The sequence below is a fragment of the Homo sapiens genome, chromosome 3 (genome assembly GCF_000001405.40).
Source record: "Homo sapiens chromosome 3, GRCh38.p14 Primary Assembly".
Lineage (NCBI taxonomy): Eukaryota > Metazoa > Chordata > Mammalia > Primates > Hominidae > Homo > Homo sapiens.
The window spans coordinates 29,698,919-29,723,768 of record NC_000003.12 but is presented as its reverse complement, the minus strand read 5'-3'; the positions used below and the strand labels follow the sequence as shown (position 1 = coordinate 29,723,768).

The window sequence follows — 24,850 nt, the reverse complement described above, 5'->3', positions numbered from 1 at the left end:
ACTGTTAAAAACAATAAAATGCTCCTGGCTTCCAAGGAGAGGGTGACTTCTGCTCTTTCAGCTCCACCTCAATGAATCACTAAGGCAGAACTGGCACCCAACCTTCGAAACAGCAACAGATTCTGCTGGATTATCCTAATAATGGAATAGGACAACAATATTAGCTAAGATGTTATAGAAGAGAGGAGAGGAGGAAAATGCAACTAGTGCATAAATGATCACCTTCTTAGCTCTATTTAAACTGTCTGAGCATCTGTATATAAAATGTCATTAATGATTTTAACACATATGATAAAGTTACAATCTATGAGTTCCTTCTTATATAAGTGAATTACTAGACAAAAGAGGAAAAAGATAAACCTGTACTTAAAGTATAATAAAAGCTAATAAATGTAGAAGGAATATTGACGTTAACAAAATCACCACATGACACCCCAATGGTAATAATTTATTTAGGCTAGAACGATCAGTGTATGTAAAAACTAGTGAGTGAGGCTGGACATGGTGGCTCATGCCTGTAATCCCAGCACTTTGGGAGGATGAGGTGGGTGGATCACCTGAGGTCAGGAGTTGAGACCAGCCTAGCCAACATGGTGAAACCCCATCTCTACTAAAAATACAAAAAATTAGCCAGGCGTGGGGATGTGCGCCTGTAATCCCAGCCATTCAGGAGGATGAGGCAGGAGAATCACTTGAACCTGGGAGGCGGAGGTTGCAGTGAGCCAAGATCATGCCGTTGCACTCCAGCCTGGGCAACAAGAGTGAAACTCCATCTCAAAAAACAAAAAAGAAAAGAAAAAAAAAGAGTGAGTAAAAGTCTGATAGGAACTAGGAAATGTACATCAATCTCCATGGAAAACTGTAACTTTTCCATGGAGACATTTGGCAAATATCACCGCAAACAAGTGATCAAAGTAGTATCAGCAGAATGGGATGAATGAGTATCTTGTGCCTCTCGATATGATACACTGAGAAGGACATCACAGCACTATATGGCATTCCTTTCAGCAAGGCATAACCCGAACCTAATCATAGAAAAACATCCCATAGATCTAAGGTAGGGATGCTCTACATAATAATTGGCCTATAATCTTCAAAAATGTCAAGATGAAGAAAGACAGAAGAATGATTGCAGATTAAAGGACACTGAGAGACTTACGAATCTAACATTTGATCCTAGATTGAATCCTAGATCCCAAACCCTCCCCTAAAAAAATTTTTTGTTTATTATAAAGGACATTTATGGAATAATGCAAAATTCAACTCAGTTCTATAGATTAGACATTTCTATTGTACCAGTGTTAATTTCCTGATGTTGATTATTCCACTGTTGTAATGTAAATGAATTACCTTGTTATTAGGACATATAACTAAACTCTTTATGGATACGAGGGCATCATGTCCTAAATTTAGTCTCAAACATCTTAAAATAATAATATGTATATATTAATAGAGAAAATGATAAAGCAAATGTAAGAGATGTTAGTACGTGGAAAATTTGGGTGAAAAGTATTATGGTATTTTTGCAACATTTTTACAAGTTTAAAATTACAAAAAAATAACATGAAAAAACTGAAAAAATAAAATAAACAAGCTGTTAATTTTGATAGCCAAAATCCAAAAATATAAAAGTATTCCTCATAAGTGCTTTACCTTATAAAAGAAATTTAAGACAGTGTATATTTTGTGTCTTGCATTCAAACTGCCCTCCCTTGAGACAGAAAGAATACCAAACACGAAATTCAGCATCTGCTTCTCCTAATATTGCACAATTAACATACTCAGCAGTACCTTGGACAGTGTTTATTTGTTTGGTTCATTTGCATACCACTCGCTCATGGTCTCCACTAAAGGTTTTAGGCAATATTTCTGCTTAGGTGTGTACAGAGAGAATGAAGATGGACATTCAAACTGGATTCCAGGCATCAATAGGCAATAGTAAATAAAAGAAGAGCCACATAAATTCTCTTTAATTACAGATATATTTCTCTTCTACTATCCCCATGCTCACCTGACTCTGCCAGATTTTCTTCTCATAATGTTGCCTATATATGCACTTTCAGAATTATTTCCTCATTAATAGTTGGAAACATCATAGTTTTGTGAGTTTACAACCTCATCCACAACATGGAATAAGGCAGTGGTTACTATCTTAGAGAAATGGATAGACCCGTGACCCTGAAACAGGGCAGTTTTCCCCTCAGAGGACTGTTGGCAACATCTGGAGACATTTTTCTTTGTAACAACTGCACTGTAGGGGCTGCTACTGGCATTCTACACACACAGGAATGTCTCCTACTCAAAGAATTACCTGTGAAAGAATCTGTCATGCCAAGGTTGCTATACCCTAGTATTAGACCACTTACGAGGAAAGAAAAAAATACATATTTAATATTATATCTCTGTTGTTATATAGTTATTACATCACCATATATCATATATATCTTATATAAATATACATAAGGCTTCCAATGTTGATTTGGGTATTTTTATCATTAAAGAGTCCTTACATGTGTGCAAGGATGTAACGAGGCATAAATGCCTCTGTTATAGTTTGAGTACAACTGTTAAGCCAAATACATTTTAAAATTTCATAAAAGCTAACTTGTATAACCAAAACAATTCAATTAAAATATTAATTTAGTATCATAGATAATGTTATTTTGCCAAATCTAAATTGCCGCTTGCAGTGTGAATCTGCTAGTATCTGCTGCAACACTAAATATTTTTGAAATTCATAGGCTGTATACTTTGTGCCACATGACATTCAGATTCTTCCACTACTTTTTCTATAAAACCTTCATCTGAGTGTAGCTTGCCAGGGTAACAGCTTTCATTTGGTTTAAAAGCATCATTTACTTATTTAGTCAGCGTCTTTTCTCTTTCCTTCCTCATTAGCCCCAGACAATGACAGCAGGCCTCTTTGGCACCAGATAATTACAGATATAAATACAGACACAGACAGTGTCGTTGACCGATCCTCCAGATGATCTCAAATATGCTTTCATAATTTTTAAAAGATTACCATAGAATGAAAAGTCACACACACACTCACACACACACACACACACAGATTCTTACAGGGAACTCATGAATTCTTAAAAATTATTTCCACACACTTTAGTGAGAACAATGCCAATACAACAAAAAAATGCCAGAGATTTGCATGGATGATCAATCTGCTTTCAAATCCAAAAGCATTTAACATATTATTTAGGTATATGTTTATATATATAAACACATACATACATAGGTAGACCCTATCATTCCAGACTAATAAGTTCACTTCCTTGAGTTTTTATTTCACTGTCAGTTACAAGAATACTACTACTACCATAGGGTTACTGTAAAGATTAATGGACACTTTGTAAATGTTAATATCTTTCCTTTTCTTCCTGTTAATTGGCTGTACACATTCACTGGGTGCCTGTCTATATTTTCTTCCCAAGTAAATGAGAAAATGCTTACAATGGCTACATATGATACAATTTACATAGAAAAAGGATTGATGAATTTCAGTTTTACTAAAAAGTACTACAAAATTAATAAAATCCAAAACATTTTCAAGGAAGGTGAAAAGGCCACGTTTCTCAGGCAAAAAAGAGCTTCCTGCATCCTGGGTAAATAAAAAGGGCCAATGTGGGTGCAACAGAGGGAGCTAGCGGGTAATGGCATGAAGTGACTTTGGAAAGGTAGGCAGGGGCCAGATCACATAGGGCCTTGTGGGCCATGTGGGTCTACATACTGTGAATTGGGATTATGCTAAGTACAATGAGAAGACATTGATGAATTTAAGTGGGGAAAGACAAAATCTGATTTGCCTAAAAAAAAAAAAAATGTATCTGTAAGAAAATGTAGGGCCAATAAATGGAGCCGAGTTCCAATTAGGTGGGAAGCTGTTGTAATGGATGAGGAGAGTCCTTCTGGATATATTAGTGAAGATAGTTATAAAGAAAAGTGGATTAAGAAATCTGTTTTGCAGGTAAATTCTACACACTTTCTGATGCACAGAATTTGAGGAATTTGAGAAAAGAAAGTCCAAGGATGATCTCAGGGTTTTGACTTTTGCGTCCTGGCCCACAGCTACTATTGATTATCATAGAAGATGGAGGGCCAAATGTGAGGGGGGAAATCTACAACTCTACTTTGAATATTTTAAGTTTGATATATCCATTAAACATCTAGTTTTGCAATCTGACTCATCTAGTTTCACCTAATAAGAGTAGTGATGATCTATAAATATAAACATGCAGGAACCCTGGAATTTCTTAAATCTGGTTTTATAGCCTTAGTTTGGCTCAACACAGTCGTGGAACTGAGTAGACAAAAAGCAGATTCTCTTTGCAAGTAAAAAAAATGAACATATTGGATCATAAAATACTACCTATGGCCAAGGCACCTGAGTGATAACCAAGGTAAGAAAAGACTTGCCCAAGGTCTCAAAGCAAATTTATAGCTGGAAATTAGATTCAGCTCCTAGTCCAATGTCTTAGCTTGTGGAAAACTTTCTAGACTTTTATAAGGAACATTTTCACAGCGTACAAGTTTCTTTCACGTTGTTTCATTTTAGAACCATGAACTCAAAGCCTGATTTATGGATCAATAAGACTTGAGGAATCATTAGAAATGGAGAGTCTTAGGCCCCACCCCAGATATACTAAATCAGATCTGCGTTTTAACAAGATCCATAGGTGATTCATGTGTACATAAAAGCTTGAGAAGCAAAAATCACTCTTTGTTTTATGGAGGAATATTTAGCATACCTATATGTTCACACAGTAAAATGAAGACAAAAGCTGGCATTGTACTCACTTAAATGATTAGCTAGCCCACTCTAATATTCACGGAGGAATGCTGTCATTAAAAACAAAAAGAATGTGTGCATGTACTGACTTGGAAATGTATCCAGGGATACGTTGTTATATTTTTTAAAAAGCTAGTTGAAGAACAGCATGCAGGTCAGGATTGCAGAGGCTCCTGGTATGCGGCAGCACATCTCCTTGGCCTACCTGATTACAACAGAACTGTGGTAGAGAGTCATAGACTGTTACTAGTTACATACCAAGCATGTGCTGGATCTCTCTGCCCTGCTTTTTCCAAAGCTGCAGAAGGTTGCTCAGCTGTGCACACATGCAGTCCAAGTTGCAGGGGAGTTAACACTCTGGGGCAACCTCCAACCAATGGAGTATGGAAGTTGAACAATAAATGCTCCAGACTTTTCATCTCGGTGCTTTCTACATGGTTCCTCAGAGTTTCCAGCAGAATTGAGCTCCAGTTCTGCTGGAGCTCAAACTTGCTTAATAGAACATGATTTTTGAACATTTTCCCCATCCCTATCTTATTTTCCCTATTCCTTTACTTCTGTTTTCATGGATCACTTCCTAAATAAACTTAATGCACTAAAATTTTTGCCTCGTGGGCTGCTTTGAAAGAAAAAAAAGCAGTATCATTTTAAAAGTGTATGTAATATAGACATGTGATATATAGAAGCATATAGACTTGAATGTATGGAGAAAGAACAAAAAGTCTACATAGGAAAATGATAATGTTTGTCTCTGGAGGTAGATTGACAGGAGACTTTTACTTCAGATTTTTTCTATTTTTATCATTACAATTATTGATTTATATTTTCATAAACTTAAACAGAAGGAAAAATGAAAAACATCAGGAAAAAGGGATCCTTTAATCTCTATACTAAAGATAGGAAACCAAATGTCAGTGTATACTACAAAATTACATAATCAGAAATGTCATTTATGATTGTCCTCCTGTGACTTCCATTTCCCATGAGAATCTGGCTGCTAATGACAATAGGTCTCTTCACAAAGCGTGGGCATTCATGATCTTTATGAATTATTTTCCCTGAGAAATACAAAACGCTTGCAGCAAAATCTGATGTTAAGGATGCAGAAAAGCCACGGGGCATAATGAAGAGATCTAAACGGGTTATTATCAATTTGCCACTCCGCTAAGTCATTTTTCTGCTTCTCCTTCTACTGCATTTTGAAGTTTATACTAGAATCACTGAGTCTGAATTTTACTACTTACGAGGTAAGTAAGAGAATTTTAAGAGTTCAAGCCCTATATTTCTGCACAATTCTAATGGATCAACGGCTTCATTACTGTACACACTGAATAATTGTCCTTCTACAAAAACGTTAACAGATTTTTAAAAATTAGCAATCTAGTAGCTCTGGTTTAAAAGATACCAATTCATATAGATATAAAGGAAAGTAGGATCTCATGGTTTTGCCAAAAATTTCATTTTAATGCTAGCAGTTTACAATTCATATTTTAGCACTAGTTGGGGTAGAAAAAGGGACAGAAGAAGAGAAAGGAGAATGTGCTCATTACAGAAATGAATGCATAAGATTAATACAATTTATAGCTGAGAAAATTATACTTGCCTAGAAGTAAACAGAACGTGTGGCAAGAAACAAAGCAAAGCAAAAACTACAACAACATCAAAAGAACAGTGTGAATAATGAGAAACAAGTAACTCTAGTAACAGTGACAACTCTTTATTGAGCACTTATTATGTATTGAGCACTGTGCGTTGCATTACCTTTAATACTTATATTTAGCCCCTAATGTAGGTATTATTGTCATCACTATTTTGCAGAGGAGGCAACTAAGGCTGTGAGCGGGTAAAGGATCTACCTCAAATCACATAGCTACCAGTCAAGGTTCAAACTAAGGCAGTCACTCTAGAATGCAAACTCCTAAAGGATACCAGACTTCCGCCAATAATGTAGCTTGTGCTACTCCCAAAATATATGTGCCAAAATAAAATGCTGCTGCTAAAATAAAAAGAAAATACGTATTATATATGTCTGTATGTGTAATACGTATGCATGTACTACAATGATTATAACTAGCTGACTTACTCTACCAGCCATAAACATTATTTACCAAGAAAGAAACAAATTAGAATACACTGACTTAGACTATTAACTAAGTTTCCACAAACCCAGAATCTATCAGCGTAAGTGGGACAGAAACAATTAATTAATAGAAAAGGAATATGTAGATGCCTTTTTTGCCTGCTTCCATTATAATACTTGAGCAAAACCGGAAACAACTAAGTATCCTACACAAGGGGAAGGTTTCGTTTTACTGTACTTATATATAACAAGGAATCTTGAGCTTATTAAAAATGATTCTTAAAGTTTTAATAAAAGGAAAATGGCAGTGTTACAAAGTTAGCACATAACACTCTTGCACAGAAAAGAACTGAAGGAAAACACATCAAATTTTTAATAATGGTTATCTATGGGTGGTGGCACAAAGAATATCCTCCTTTCTTCTTTTTTCTAATTTATCTATGGTTTCAAATTTTTTAACATAGAAACGATGACTTGCATTATTAGCAAAATAACTAATATCAATTCAGAGCTTATTCTACTTGTTGTTTGTTTTAGAATGCTATGTAAGTGTCCTTTGCTTCTCAACACCATTGTATGGTAATAAGCAAATATTTCGACCTAGTTACTTTGCCCAGATATCTTAATTGTGGTAACTGTGCAAGTATATCTAAAGGATGCATTTCTAGCAGTAGAATTATTAGATCAAAGGAATTACAAATTTAATGTGTTTTAGGTATTTCTCTAAATTTGTACAAATTTATACCTCTATCAACAATATGTAAAAGTTCCGTTTTCCTCACACACCTACTATAGTAGTGTGACCCATCTTCTTAATCTTTGCCAATCTATTTGCTGAACTCAACAGCCATCTATGCCATCATCTCTTTGAGTCATTGAAATTCAAAGGTCATATTTTAAGACATCTCTTCCCTTTTTCTAACTTCCCAGAAATAATATGGCAGAACAAAACATGAAAAGGCATCAAAGGCTAATCAGACCCATTTAGGATTTGTGCAGGTCACATGAGCATATACATGGAAGAAGTGTACACAAATATGATAAGGCATTGATGCACTAAATTGGACAATCCCCTCATTGAACACTTACAATGTCTCAGCAGGTAGTATACCCTGAACAAAACGATTTGTCACTAGAGAATAGGCTCTATGCTTTTACCTCTGACATTGAGATTGGTTTTTCACTTCTCAGTTACCAGGTCTATGAAATGAAGTTAATCAGAAAAACAGCCATTCATGGGCAAAGGAGATCAAGGTGGTTTCACATTGAACATACAAGGGAGTTCTCCAAGGGAAGACGCTGTCAATAGAATTCACTCTTAAATGCTTAGTCACATGGTTGGAAGAGAGTAAGCACTGATTCCAGGGAACTAACAGTAGATATATTTAATCTGCTTGGCTTAAATTGAAGGCGGAAATTTGGAGGGGAGCATGAAAAGTTCAAGTTATAAAAAAGATGCAGTATGATATACAGAGAAAAGAGCATAGGATTTGAGTTACAAAAACTGATTTTACTAACTTAACCAGTTTCTAAGTCTCTCTAATCTCACTTTTCTCAGCCATGAATGAAGCATATTATACCAATATCACCGAGCTGCTGGCAAATTAGGTACAGACATTTGTGAAATGCCCACAGAATGCTTGGCACATATGAGCACCCCTGAGGTAGCCCCTGGATTTCACATTAGTTCATTAAAGAAATAAATCTTGCCTGACTGGAGGAAATTATTTTACAATTCATAAAGGACAGGGAAATCACCTTCTGGAAAATATCTTCAAACCATAATTTCAAAGAAAACCACTAATTGGATAGGAGTTGGGAGCATAAAGAAGAATGGAATTATCTTCAAGAAGTTGTTGCTTTTATTTTTTTCCAAGAAATTAAAACTATTATCTATGAGGGATGAAACTACACAAGATCCCCTTGTGTTTGATGACATGGAAAATATATAGCTCACTACTCAAATAATCAGACTAAGGCCCAGGAGAAAAAGATTCACCTCAAGGTCTGTAACTGCTAACTGCTGTCATATTCATTACAGGCCAAGTTTCTAAAGCAGCCCATTCAACATTGTCTTTATCTTTTCAGAGCTATTGTTTGAGAGTATGTGTGTGTGTGTGTGTGTGTGTGTGTGTGTACATGTGTGCACATGCATCTGTGGATATCTAAACTATTTTCTACAACCTAATCCTACCTTACATGTTAAATGGGAAAAAACACAAAGTAATTTACTACACTTGCTCTTTGTGCTTCCAGGAAGATGACAGCTAAATATTCATTCTCATGTATATCTGTCTTCCTTCTCCTACCTGTGATCCCTACAAGGTTATGTTACCAAGTCTCATGATTTTAAATTCCATCTGTAAGTCATATCTCCAATCCTGTCCTTTTCCTTGTCTCCAGACTCACATACGTGGCTGTCTATTCAACATTTCCACTTGGATGTCTCATAGATACTGTCCCATCCCATCCCCAACTTACTCTTTCCCAGCCGGTCTGTCTTATAAATGGTAACTTTAACCCATCTGTTGCATAGGCCACAAAACTTGAAGTCATCCTTGACTCCTCTCTTTGATATTTCATATTCAAATAAATTGTGAAATAATTCAAATTAAAGTACTCATTAAATCTTTCAATTCTACCTTCAGAACTGTTCAGAATTTAACCATTCCTTCATATGTACACCACTGCTCATTGGTCCTAGATTATTGCCTGCTTTGTTCATTGATATGGCCCCAGCCCCTAGAAGAGATCCTGGCTTATAGTGGGTGCTCAATAAATATTTGTTAAAAATAGTTTTTTGTTTTCTTTTCTTTTCTTTTGTTTTTTTGAGACAGAGTCGCCCTCTGTTGCCCAGGCTGGAGTACAGTGGTACAATCTTGGCTCACTGCAACCTTTGCTTCCCGAATTTAAGCAATCCTTCCACCTCAGCCTCCAGAGTAGCTGGGACTACAGGCACGCACCACCATGCCTGGCTAAGTTTTGTATTTCTTGTAGAGATGGGGTTTCACCATGTTGCCCAGGCTGGTCTTGAACTCCTAAACTTAAGTGATCTACCCACTTCGGCCTCCCAAAGTGCTGGGATTACTGATGTGAGCTACAGCACCTGGCCCAATAACAGATTTTTAGCAAAGTTTTTCACCATAGAATGGTTCCACTGCTCTCAGGACAGTATATATGCTTGGAGGAAGCAGAGACACTGTATATGAGAATGCATTAAAGTATAAAACATTTTCTTACTCATATTTGTTGCTAGAATGTTTGAAGAGAATGTGGAGAGGCAGGACTAGAGAAGTTTCCTGGCCAAAAACTAAATCAGTGCATGTATAAATATATTATTGCTTTTCTTCTGGTATAGAAATGACCAGTCTTTTTCTAGAATGGAGCCAGCACAGGATGTAGCCAGCCAGGTGAGTGGCATACTCACAGAACCAGGAAGAAATAATTTTCTCCAGGTACTAGGCTACCTGTAGGTTTCCATTACAGACTTTTCTCTTTGACTCTGGGAATGGTATGCCAGGTAGTTTAAGAGAAGGGCACATTATGTCTTATCTTTCTTTTCAGTGAGAAGCAGCTTAAGGGTTTTAATCATCCTTATATGGGAACAGAGGGCAAACACTGAACAAAGAGAGGGTGAAAATATTCTACGAAAGTATGGAAGTGATCATTAATGGGGGGGAAATGAAGAGAAATTTCATGCAATTGAACACTTTTCTAAAGTTTGATACTACAAGGAATATGTAATCTGTGGTATATTATATATAATATAATATAATAGATACTAGCCACAATAATCAATCACTAAGAAGGTCTTGAAGAATTAATATTACCAAAATCACATCCTCACAGGGAAAATATATTAAGGTTCTCCTGAGAACCAGAACCAATAAGAGATATCTCTCTCTTTCTATCTCTGAAAAAGAAATGGGATTTATTATAGGAACTGACTCACATAATTATGGAAACAAAGAAGTGCAGGATATGCTGTCTGCAAGGTGGAGAATGTGGGAAACTGGAGATGTATTTCATTTCTAGTCCAAAGGCCTGAGAACCTAGTGGGTGCCTGGTGTCAGTCTCAGAGTCTGAAGTTTGAACCTGAAGTTCTGATGTCCAAGGACATGAGAAGATGGATATTCCAGCTTCAGAAGGGAGCCAATTTACCCTTTCTCCACCTTTTTGTTCTATATGGTCTTCCAGCAGGTTATATAAAGCCTGTCCACATTGGTGAGGGCAGATCTTCTTTACTCAGTCTACTGATTTAGATGTTATCTCTGCAGGGCATAGTGGCTTCTGCCTGTAATCTCAGCACTTTGGGAGTCCGAGGTGGGCAGATTGTTTGAGCCTAGGAGTTTGAGACCAGCCTGGACAACATGGTGAAACTCTGTCTCTACAAAAACTATAAACATTATCAGGGCATGGTAGCATGCATTCGTAGCCCGAGCTACTTGGGAGGCTGACGTAGGAGGATCACTTGAGCCTGGGAAGCAGAGGTTGCAGTGAGCCAAGATTGCATCATTGCACTCCAGCTTGGGTGACAGAGTGAGACCCTGTCTCAAAATAATAATAATAATAAATAAAAATTAACAAAAATAAAAACCAAATACAAATCTTTCCCAGAAACACCCTCACAGATATAACCAGAAATAATATTTTACTAGCTATCTGAGTATCCCTTAACCCAGTCAAGGTGAGATCTAAAATCATCCACCACAGCTAGGGATGATTATAAATCTCATTTTGGAAAAACAGAGAAAACCTTTTTCTCTTATATAATGAGGCAAAAGAACAAACTTAGGGAGAAATGTCTGATTCTTTAAGCTGTAGGCTTTATTCGAGGGGAAAATGCTCTCCTACCATAATTAATCACATAAAGAAGAAAAAGGAGCAGCAAAGTGATCACTTAAAAGCACAGTGTCTCTGTTATTTATGAGCTATCCAAAGATACATGAGCAGTTGTCATCCATTGAATTTTTAACCTTTAATGGTTATGCTAGCATTCACTTTCATATTGGTAAATAATGTAGTTGGTTTGCTTTATTATTTTCCTTTTCTTCAGTTACTAGCATTGACCCAGATGTTTGCTCAACCACAAAAGGCAATAGCTAATCCTCATTATAACCCTATCCAAAGTATTTACTAGGTTAAGACCAGGGTGTGCCAAAGATTAGAGCATGTGTATGGAGCCATGGGAAGAAAGTGACCCTTGAAGGAGAAAATTGGATTCTGGCCTGGCTTTTGCCACAAGCTCATTCTGAGATCCTGGGTTAGTAGTCTGACCCTGCTTGGCTCTGAAGTTTCTGCATCTGTTTAAAATGGTCGGATTAGGTGGTCTCTAATGTCCCTTCAAGTTCTAAATTTCATGACTGTATCCATCAGGCAATCTCTTAGGCTGTGCTCCAAGTTTCTTGGAGGTCAAGAACATGACCCAGTTATTCATACTCAGGCCAAGTCCACAGAGTCAAACCATAGAAACTCTCTTCCCAAATTTGTTCAGAACAGCTGAGAGAGCCAACGAATATGGAGAAAATCATTTCCAGGAACAGTCTAAGGAACAACATGAAAGTGGACACAATGTCCATTTCCTTTACTACGCTAGTCTCCTCTTATCTGTGATTTCACTTTGCACAGTTTCAGTTACCTAAGGTACAGTACAATAAGACCTTTTGAGAGAGGGATCACAATGACAACTTTTAATATAGTCTATTGTTACAATTGTCCTCTTTTATTATTAGTTAATCTCTTATTGTGCCTAATTTATAAATTAAACTTTATCACAGCTATGTATGTATAGGAAAACACATAGGATACATAGGGCTAAGTACTATCTGTGATTTCAGGCATCCACTGGGGGGCTTGGAACATATCCTGTGCAAATAAGGGGGGAGCTACTGTATTGTATATTTAATGCGTGGAACAGTGCCTGACACATAGTAGGTGCTCAAATATTTTATGATGAACTAATGTCTCTTGGCATGTATAGTAATGGCTGTATAAGCAATTATTTATACTGAAAATTTCAGAAATTAAAGCATTTCCATAATGTATAGCATTAAATCAGTGACAAGTAATAAAAAGATATGCAAAGAGCAGCCTGATAACTCTGAAAGCCTCTAAAGAAAATGGTAATGATTTAAACTGAATCTCAGAGGTTTAAAAACACGTGGTGTAATGCATGGCCTGACAGTTAAACTGGATGAAGGGAATTCACTGAAATGAGACGGATTATGGTTTTCAGTCTCTGAACTAACACACTATGTTTTCACTTGAAGCTGATTCTATTCCTTTTGAGGACTCAGAGCTGTCACCCATAAACGTTCAGTATATTGGAAAGAGTATAGTGCCAGTCAGGCTGCCTGACCCCGAATGCTGTGCCTGCGACTGTGTAGCTGTGTGACCTTTGGTAAATTACTTAAATTTTCAAGCCTTAGCTCTCACAGGTTTACTGAGAACTTCCTTATAAGGCTTCTGGAGAAACACAGAGAAAATGTATGTAGTAGTGCTAGTATAGTGCCTGAGCAGAGAATATATGCAATGAAGTTTAGCTGTGATTATTACTGATATATTATTATTTACTATTGACATAGAGGAGAAGGAGAATATTTAAATTTAGCATTCTTAATGACTATCACCCATCAAAGAAAAAGATAAAAATATGCATTAATAAGGCCTGGTTCTTTCTATTCACAAATCCAAAAAGGCAAATCAAAAAAACTTCCAATAATAGAGAGGTGAACTTTTAAAATGGAAATAGCCTAAACGGTTTCTTCTTTAAAAATTATCGTATGTGTATCAACCAAGTTTGAACAGGTAATGCCAATTGCTCACATGAATAATCTCCTTCCATTTGATTAATTTCCATTTCACAAGAAAGTTACGAATGTCATCTGAAAAATGGTAACGTGTTTTTTCTCCTCAAGTGTCTTTCAGCTATTCCTTCACTTAACCGACCCTATATCTACTCTATTTCCTTTTAATATTCTTTATGACTGATAAAATATCAAAAAGACTTTTGTGCAAGATAACGCTTTATCTCTATGATTATATATAATTATAGCTTTCTTAGAGGAAGAATTAAATATAAATATAGACTTTTTCAATTATCTACAGGCAGTTTATTTAAAAGTTAGGTTTTTAAATGTGCATTATATAGGCCTTTGCATTCAAATGCAAGTAAAATGTACTTCGGGGACAAACATAAGAGATTCTGGATAAATCATTGTTTTTGTTTATATTGGACACCACTGCCCTCCATTGTAGATAATTGAATTGGCAGCATCAGTGAGTACTGATAATGAAGGCAATAATTCTTTAGAATCTTAAATCAGAGAGAAGTTTTTCAAAAGACAAAAATTCATAAGGCCATACACATAACTCAAAAACTATAAAAGCTTCATTACACTAAAGCCAACATATTTCTCACAAAACAGAATATACTCTTTTCATTTTCTCCAATTCCATCAAGAGCTGATACTTGGTCCCAGGTGAAAAGATGAAGGCTTGGGACTTTTCTTAGACTCATTCACGGAACATTTCTGCACTTTTAATGTCAGCCGTGAAGTTGCTGGCATTGCTAACAAGAGCTACCAAACATAAAGCAGGGTCACAATCCTACAATGTGACTGTAATTGCAAGCAATCAAGTACAAGAATTCTAAGTGGGACTGATTACTCGTTGGCTGCAGGTTGGTTTCCTTGGGAAGCCAACCCTGAGACAGAGTTTAGAGGGAGTCATGTGTATTAAGGAGAGGTTTTGGGGTCATTGCCTGTGAAAGGGAACGTAAGGAAGCAGGAGTGAACGAAGGGAGAACGCAAGCTGTGACGCAGATCGGACTTCAGCAGGCCCCAGTGGGAGCTAGAGTGGTCCTTAATTGAACTGAGTTGGGCTGAGACGGCCAGGCATAAAATACAATCACACTGATCAGTTGTTGGATATGGCCTACCCCATGGAAGGCGTGACCTTGGGTCAACTAGCTTCCTGCAACTCAGAAAATTCCCTTAGGGATTGACAGTTGTCTGTCAATAGCCTTCCCAGTAGCTGAGACAACAAGTTCTTCACTGAAGGGATGTGTGGATGGCATGTCAGTGTCACACATCCTTCAATACTGCCAAAGTTAGATAGTCTTCTTATGATGATTCCTAATAGATCTACCAGAAACAGGTGTAGGGAGCCCACCCATAGTCTCTGCTTCCCATCAGAGACGACCGAATTGAAGCCACCCACTTCAGTGCCAAGGAGCAGTAGCCTCTGCTAGAATCACCCCAATCACTGGTGACTTCTCCTAGCATCTTGGGTGGGAATATCAAATCCAGGAAATGACAATGAAAAAGAAATTAAGTTTGCACAGCTTTTAATACTTCAGCAAAGAAAACAATTTGTTTCTTACAAGATCTAATTCTAACTCTGTAGGAATTACACGATTTATTATTTTATTTTCCCAAATGGAACATCTGCAGCAGTCAATAATTTGGGGTAATTCTTAATTTTCTTGCCTACATTTAGAGCCAAAAATAGCCATGCCCCTGAAATGGTGGCTACTATATCTTTCAAGATATAGGGCAGTGACTATTTAACAACATAATCAGCATGCTTCTAAACCTTTCATCTGATATTTAAATGAAAACAAGAGATAATCAGTAGTGAAAGTCATCTTCAATCTGTTATCTTGCCTTTTCAATTCTAAAGCAAGGTTGCTTTGGAAATTGGTCTTCTTCTTATATAAGGTACCATCTGAGAGTGTCAAGTGTTAAATAATTAAAAACAAAAGTAGCATATATCGCTGTCAATCAGCAGGGGCTTTAATTTGCTTTTTGTTGCAAAAGGCATGATACTCTCTAAACGGAAGGTGCAATCAGCCCTCGGCAGGCCTACGACCAGTAACCAGTAATGTTTGACTCTGTCACACTTGAGGGCCATCCCACAGGCTGAGCCAATCACTTGATGTTCGATGAAACTTAACAATAAAACACTCCACAATAAAAGTGTCCACTGAAAGCATCACAACATATAACTATAAGCTGCTCCGTATTTTGTAGGCTTTCTAAAATGAAAAGCCTTGACCTGTCTTTTCTCAAATGGACTTACTGGCACTTGATAGTCTTTCCATTCCTACCCTCGTTTGGCAAGAAACGCAGTAAGAAATTGTCCCATGGCAGAGAGAAATGGCAGGGGACCATAAAATAAAAGTGTCTTTGATTTCTGTAAACATGAATTGTGTCTAGCTTGGCCTTTTGTGGTTTTGAGAGGATAGACAAAAAGCAAGGCATACTTTTTCCTTATGGAAAAGACAGAAAAACTGTCAGCTTTTTTGTGTGTGCAAAAGAATTATTTGGTGGTTTTTCTTGTCAGATGTTTTGTTTGTTTTTATAGTAAAGACGGTGATAACCCATTGCTACACTTAAGAAAAATCATGTTAACATGGAACCGTATTTTCAAAATTAACAGGTCTGGAAAATATTGCTCTTAATTTAAAATAGCTATGGAACATCATTAATCCCTGATTTTACATCTACATGTTCTAGCTATAACGATGAATGTGTTTATTAACCCAATGAGTAAAATCTACCCAGGCACAAAAGTAGACTGATTTATTTCAAACATCTTAATTCACTTCTCGCAATAATCATCTGTAAAAGAGAAACTAAATAGGCATTGGCATAATCTATCTAAAGTACACATGATAAAATTTTATAGTTTTTGGGGGACAGAAATATGAATATAAAGGAACATTTTCCAGATGTGAAAAAGTCATCTTTTATGAAAGACATTAATTTCAAGCAGTTTCTTCATGTCTCTTAGATTTTTTAACCCACACAAAGGCAGAGACAATTAATGTATAGACCCCATTTGAATTTGAAAAGTACAAAGCTCACCCCTCTCCATTAATTTGCCATCCTAAAAGGGGGCAATAGTGATCTCTCTAAGACCTCAGGATTGTGTCAAGAACATATAAGTAGCAAACCATCTTTTAAAAAAGTCTGTATTTCCTTTCCTTCCACTCCAAGAAAATGGATGCAAGATATCTTTGGGGACTTCAGTTCTCTTAACACCATATTCTATTCTTAGGGTAACTTGGAAAAGCAATAATAAAAATATCCTGTGCACAAAGGTTTCTGGGAAAAATACTGTGGTTTTGCTAAGGCATCCTTCTGTTATATAGAGAGTGTTTAAATGATGGTGATGGACTCTATGAACATCTTTTTCATTCACGGCTTTATCCCTGAAGATCTGCAAAATGTTTCAAGATGTCATTCGTTGTTCTCCCTGAAGAGTTTCTTGTGAGAGAGTGGTGTAGTGGGGTACATGATTTCATACTATGAGTTCTGCCAAATCCTGAGTCTAAGCTTCACTGAAAGGGATCCTTGGAGATGTCTTTGGTAGACAGCTCTCCCCTCTTCACCTCCTGCTCCAGTGCCGTCTGTGAAATAAACAATGCAGCAGAGCAATTGAGCCTGCTTGGATCTGGAAGTCTTGATTATGTGTCACTTTGGATTGACATCATGACAATATCATAGCCCTCCTTGCATAGCAAAGAAAATCAGGGTTATAGATGCTTGATTTTCAGAGATTTTATTAGAGGGAGGGAACTACAAGTATCAATGCAAGAAATTACAACACTGGAATTACTCTATAGAAAGCAAGTAATTATGAATGTCAGGACTAGAATGCCTTTGTGAAGGGGATTTTCATGACAAAGGTAGGTAAATGGCAGATTCTCTTCCTGACATCAAGTGGCAGTGTTCTTACACCTAATGGCATATGCTTCCTTTCTACCAGGGACCAATTATTCTGTCACAACAGACTGGAAGCCTTCAGCAGGTGACAACATGTCCTTGGAGCTTCAGTGTCTCACAATTGCTAGAACCAGCTTGATGTGAATGACAGCCACAGAAGGGAAGGCAGAGCCCTTGCTGGTACACCTGCTGTTTTGTTGAATAATAAGGGAAAACTCAGCCAATACCCTATACTCTCTTGTTTTCAGGCAGTAAACAAACCTGATATTACCACAGTTTGTTACGTGAATAGTGACATCAACTGTATGGACTTAGTGCCACCTTAGTTCTTTAATCTGAATACCAATACTAATTCCTAATATTTGCATGAATTTGTATATCATATATGTTATCTCAGTTTTTCTTCACCACAACCCTGTGATGTAATTATGCCATGATAATGCTTCTCCGTGAATTGAGGTTGCATAGGAGGGTATAATTACAAGAGGAGATGTGCAGGAGGGTGGACAGGTGAGTCAATGTAGGAAATAACTAAAAATAACTGAAAAAGTAAAATCAATAAACTATAATCATTCACAACAAGAAGAATAAACCTGGTGAATGTTCATATTAATTATATTTCATTTTAAAGCACATTTTCCATTTCATTATGTTTTCACTTGCTGTGCCTAAGTACAGTACTTAAGCACTGTGTTATGCTCTGGAGGGACTTCTCAGCCCCTGGCTTCAAAGAAAAGGATCAGTTTCTATAACATGTGATTCTTTATATTACACAAGCAAAAAGAAAGGAGGAGAAAGTAAACTTCATTTGCATAATGTGCCACTTTTATAGACCATGTTCTGGTCCAAAGGTAAATTGGAGAGTTTCCTTCATATACATTTTTCTGCATAAAAGTTATTTTTCAAGCTTTATGTGATACTGGATTTAAATGACACACCCTGTGGATAACAAATGCTGGAAGGTCTTTCAACTCCTTACCCTGCAATGTGGCCGTAATGGTTGGTAAGGTGTAATAGGATTGTTATTCACCGTGGACATGGGCGAGAAAGCTATCGTTTTATTTGGTGAAACAAAAAGCCCCTAGCTAAAATCTAGGGCCTCATCACATGCACAAGGGAACTGACTCCAGAAAGCATTCCCCTTGGAACACCATGCGGTAACAGTTTAATTATGCCAGTGATCATGTGACAAGATATCTTGACAACATTATGAATTTGGAAGTAAGAACTAACCCCTTGCCAAGCAATGGCCAAAGCTAATAAATGCCATGTTGGCTTTTCTCTAAAAAGTATTTTTGTGGGTAAACCCTACCAACTTTTATGTTGAAACAAAGTTCAATAACATTTTTTCCTGTCAAAAAAATCTGCATTCTTCCCTTCTATCTAACAATTTTTTAAATTATTTCAATCAGAAAGTCTGAAATCAACACAGCAATTCAAAAACTAGTATCAACATTTAAAAATAATGATAATGCAACTGCAGAGCTAAGGAAGAAATATAAATAAATGATCCAACATTGGTTGAATGCCCACTAGATGCCTGCTACTTTACATGTATTTTATCACAATAATCCTATAAAACAGGCAGTAGTATCACCGTTTTACAGATGAGGCAACTGCGACTTTGAGAGGTTAAGTGATTTGCCCAATTGGATAGAAATGAGTTGCTTCTCTTGCTCCTGGAAGGTTGTTTTTATCTTTAAAAAATAACTAGACATTTAAATGGAAATGTGTAAGGGCCAAAATGCATCTGTATTTCAACACTGGAAACACTTATCCAATGAAACCTTCTTTATATACCAATCTCTTTCTGGAATACACACATGTGTTTGATTCATTTTTAAGTAATTGAAATAGAAGCAAAGATTAAATCAGGGGTCCCCAACCTTTACGGCACCAGGGACCAGTTTTGTGGAAGACAATTTTTCCATGAACCTGTGTGGGGAGATGGTTTTGGGATGATTCAAGCGCATTACGTTTATTGTGCAGTTTATTTCTATTACATTGTAATATATAATAAAATAATTATATGACTCACTCTAATGTAGAATCAATGGGAGCCCTGAGCTTGTTTTCCTGCAACTAGACAGTCCAATCTGGGGTTGATGAGAGACAGTGACAGATCATCAGACATTAGATTCTCATAAGGAACACACAACCTAGACCTCTTGCATGTGCAGTTCACAACAGGGTTCATGCTCCTATGAGAATCAAATGGTGCCACTGATCTGACAGGAGGGAGTGCAGGCGATAATGTGGGTGATTGGGAGCAGCTGTAAATACAGATGAAAGCTTCATTCACTCGCCCAGCACTCATCTCCAGCCGTGCGGCCCAGTTCCTACCTGTGTGGCCCATTTGTAACACAACCTGTAGGGTTGGGGATCCCTGGATTAAATGAATATTTAAAGATTTTACAGGTCTTTCACAATAAGAATGGGAATCATCAATTTTGGCTCTAAATCTTCTAAATCCATTCTAATCAGGTGAGTTTGCACCTACTTCAATAGCAATTAACTTGATAGAAATGGAAAGATAATAAAAAATACTTTGTTATAACATGGCACTACCAGGGTAGAACTTTAGACCTACTACTTGTACAAATACTCTGGGCATTGCAGATATGTTAGCACATGTGAACCTACATGTACTAAGATAGAAAGTTCCCAACCGTAATAGTTCCCATCTGATATTCAGATGTTCTCCTTAAATAGCATTCATTAAGTTGTTTCTGGCAACCGATCTCTTCAAATTGTTTCCTATAGACAATGTTTTCTTACAATTTCACTAGACTTTCAGCCAAGTTCTTCCCCACACATTGAATTAACACATGTACATATGTCAATCAACTTCAAGCAAAAGGTTTATACCTACTGTCTTCATCATAGTTTCCATGGAGAAGACAGTACAGCTCCGTAGTGAAGTGAGTGGACCCTCGAAACAAACTACAAACTTTTACAACTCCCTAGTTCTATGGCTTCGGAAATGTAATGCAATTATGCCTGTGTTTCATTGTACTTAAATGTAAGTGAGAATTATTGTAATAAACAATCACACCTAAAATAGCTGCTTTGAAAGTTAAGTAATATTTGAAATAGCTCAAAACATCGTCTGCATCAGTATTAGATACATCTAATAATATCATCTAGTGCTAACATGAACACTTAACGAAAGTTAGTCATCATTAACCACTCTAGGGCTTCCAACAATCTTTTCAGCTTCCTATTGTGTCCGGAATTGGTGGGTTCTTGGTCTCACTGACTTCAAGAATGAAGCCGCGGACCCTCGCGGTGAGTGTTACAGTTCTTAAAGGTGGTGTGTCCAGAGTTTGTTCCTTCTGACGTTCGGACGTGTTCGGAGTTTCTTCCTTCTGGTGGGTTCGTGGTCTCGCTGGCTTCAGGAGTAAAACTGCAGACCTTCACGGTGAGTGTTACAGCTCTTGAGGCGGTGCATCTGGAGTTGTTCGTTCCTCTCATCCAGAGTTGTTCATTCCTCCTATCCAGAGTTGTTCATTCCTCCTGGTGGGTTTGTGGTCTCGCTGGCCTCAGGAATGAAGCTGCAGACCTTTGTGGTGAGTTACAGCTCATAAAGATGGTGTGGACTCAAAAAGTGAGCAGCAGTGACTTATTGCAAAGAGCAAAAGAACAAAGCTTCCACAGAGTGAAAGAGGACCCCGGCGGGTTGCCACTGCCAGCTCTGGCAGCCTTTCATTCCCTTATCTGGCCCCACCCACATCCTGCTGATTGGTCCATTTTACAGAGACCTGATTGGTCTGTTTAACAGAGAGCTGATTGGTCTGTTTTGACAGGGTGCTGATTGGTGTGTTTACAATCCCTGAGCTAGACACAAAAGTTCTCCAAGTCCACACTAGATTAGCTAGACACAGAGCACTGATTGGTGCATTTACAAACCTTGAGCTAGACACAGGGTGCTGATTGGTGGATTTACAATCCTTTAGCTAGACATAAAGGTTCTCCAAGTCCCACTAGATTAGCTAGACACACAGCACTGATTGGTGCATTTACAAACCTTGAGCTAGACACAGGGTGCTGATTGGTGTGTTTACAAACCTTGAGCTAGACACAGAGTGCTGATTGGCATATTTACAAACCTTTAGCTAGACATAAAAGTTCTCCAAGTCCCCACTGGACTCAGGAACCCAGCTGGCTTTCCTTAGTGGATCCCGCGCCACGGCCGCGGGCAGAGCTGCCCACCAGTCCCACACCGAGGGCCTGCACTCCTCAGCCTTTGGGCGGTCGATGGGACCGGGCGGCGCCGTGGAGCAGGGGGTGGGGCTCCTCGGTGAGACTCCGGCTGCGCGCAGGCTTCAGGTCCCAAGCCCTGCCCCGCTGGGAGACAGCTGAGGCCCGGTGAGAATTCCAGCGCAGTGCCAGTGGGCCGGCACTGCTAGAGGACCAGGTGCACCCTCCGCAGCTGCTGGCCCGCCTAACTCTCACTGCCCAAGGCCGGTGGCGCCGGCCAGCCTCTCCGAGTGCGGGCCCGCCCAGCCCACGCCCACCCAGAACTCACACAGGGCCGTGAACGACGCGCGCAGCCCCAGTTCCCACCTGCGCCTCTCCCTCCACACCTCCTTACAAGCAGAGGGAGCTGGCTCCGACCTCTGCCAGCCCAGAGAGGGGCTCCCATAGTGCAGCAGCAGGCTGAAGGGCTCCTCAAGCACGGCCAGAGTGGGCCCTGAGGCTGAGGAGGCACCGAGGGCGAGCGAGGGCTGCCAGCAGGCTGTTACCTCTCACCATGGGCCACCAAACAGTCATTCTCTAGACTGCAGTGAGTGAGCTCTTACATTCTGGTTCCTAGCTTGTTTTTTACGGAGGTAACATTCACTACTTAAAACTTTTTTTCTTTTTTTTTTTCTTTTGAGACAGAGTCTCGCTCTTATTGCCCAGGCTGGAGTGCAATGGCGCGATCTCAGCTCACTGCAACCTCTGCCTCCCAGGTTCAAGCAATTCGCCTGCCTCAGCCTTCCAAGTAGCTGGGATTACAGGAGCCCGCCACCACGTCCGGCTAATTTTTGTATTTTTAGTAGAGACTGGGTTTCACCATGTTGGCCAGGCTGGTCTCGAACTCCTGGGAGGCCAAGGCGGGCAGAGTACTACTTAAAACTTTTAAACAGTTCTTCATTGTTCTCAGAATTAATTTCAAATGGTTTAGCTAGCCTAACAAAGCCCTTCAAGTCCAGGCCCTTTCTTACCTTTCCAACTTCTTCACCTTTCTAAAAAGCGCAATGTCCAATCTCCAACGTATACGTGTACACATGCACACGAACACACACACATGCTTATAATCTCCCTCGTGTGTCCTCTAACCAGATTACTTGCAGCTCTCTAATTTCTCTTTTTTTAAATTCCTCTATCCTTTTTGAACCTCTAAGCTTTCCTGAAAAATATTCCCTTCTCCCCTAACTCCCCATTACTTTCCTTGGCTAATTATAGCTTGTCTTCACTTTCCTGAAAAAAAAAAAAAGTCTGAAATAATTGAGTTAGGATTCCCTCTTTTGCACCTATTCATATCTTACTATAGTACTTACCATACATGTTCTATAATTACCAATTTTCTTGCCTGTCTGATCTATTAAACTCAAAGGCCCTTGAGAGCAAGTAAAATTTGCTATTTATACTTGGATTCCTAGAGCCAGCCAGCTGAGTATTTGTATAATGATTACTTTGGGAACATGAGCTCTACAAGAGATGTAGGAAAGATGTATTCCAGGAAAATTCTGGAGCCTCATAAGCTCATGTTCTACAACCTGCCTCAATGGAAAGGATTCAGACCGTACACAGTTTGGCGTTAATTCTGCAACATATGGAAGAGACTGAAAAAGAACTCCATACTATTCCTGTCTTGACTAATAAATTATTACTCTCTAGCTTATCACAGCAAAGAGCCACCATATTTTGATGTTTAACTGTAACACATCTATAATAGATCTACTGGCAGATACTGAAAAGTGAGAGAAAAGTGTTCCTGGAATCAAAGGATTCAGAAAAAAGGATATCCAGAGATCACATAGTCCAGTATTGTGACTTTATTTGGGATGTGGCCAAAATAGCCTAAACCGAGCATCTACCTTAGAAAGTCTCTTAGAGAGTTCAATAAATATAACTACTAGGGTGCCAATGCATCTAATTTAAATATGACAAATCCAGTCCCTTTGTTCAGTCTTAAAGGAAGTAAAATAAAATAATAGGCCATCATCATCCTTTATACCCCTGCTATTTGAGGTTTCATCCAAGGATAAGTGGCAGTGGCTTTCTTGTCCTGCCTCAGACCTACTGAATCATAATCTGAAGGAGGTTACACAGACAGGTAATGTAGGTACATGTGCACTGTGGTTTAGTGTACAAATCAGTATATCTTCCCTTATATGTAATATAGCAATATGTATGGGGGTGTAATATGTCTGTACGTTATGGATAAGTGGTTAATTATAATATTACCATACTATGCGGACACTAAAATCATGTTTATAGAGAATTATTTTTGACATAGGTAATACTTACGTCACAATGTTAACTGAGAAAAAAAGGCTACATGAGTTACATACATCCTAATTTCCTACGCTTTTAGAGTTGTATGTGCAAACAGAACAAAAGCTGGAAAGAGTTAATAATAAATTGGTAAAATTATAGTTGATTTTCATTTTCATTTTTGCAAATTCTGAATTTTAGCCATTAGAAAATAGCTCCACAGGACAGGCACGGTGGCTCACGCCTGTAATACCAGCACTTAGGGAGGCCAAGACAGGTGGATTACCTGAGGTCAGGAGTTCGAGACTAGCCTGGCCAAATGAAACCCTGACTCTACTTTAAAATACAAAAATTAGCTGGGTTTGGCGCCATTTGCCTGTAGTCCCAGCTACTTCGGAGACCGAGGCAGGAGAATTGCTTGAACCTGGAAAGCGGAGTTGCAGTGAGCTGAGATTGTGACACTGCACTCCAGCTTGGGCAACAGAGTGGTACTTCATCTCAAAAAAATGAAAATAGCTCTACATTTGAAACCTTCTTTCAAGAAGGTACTTATTGAAAGATTTTTTGTGTATGTTTAAGCCTCTTCACTAGGATAGTATTTCATAACAAAGCCAATTGCCTATCAATTGGGAAATGGTTTATTAAACTGTGAAGTATTCACAAAATGGAACTTTATGTATTTGTCGAAAATGTTTACATTTGTTATTATAAAGGAGCACCAAGATATGTTGTTATGTGAAGAAAGCTGGG

General features: G+C 38.2%; 1 protein-coding gene across 14 annotated transcripts in view; it reads right to left on the bottom strand.

The window, feature by feature from the left end:
• RBMS3 (RNA binding motif single stranded interacting protein 3) overlaps positions 1 to 24,850 on the bottom strand; it is a 729,325-nt gene that overhangs the window by 286,627 nt on the left and 417,848 nt on the right. The window lies entirely within an intron of this gene.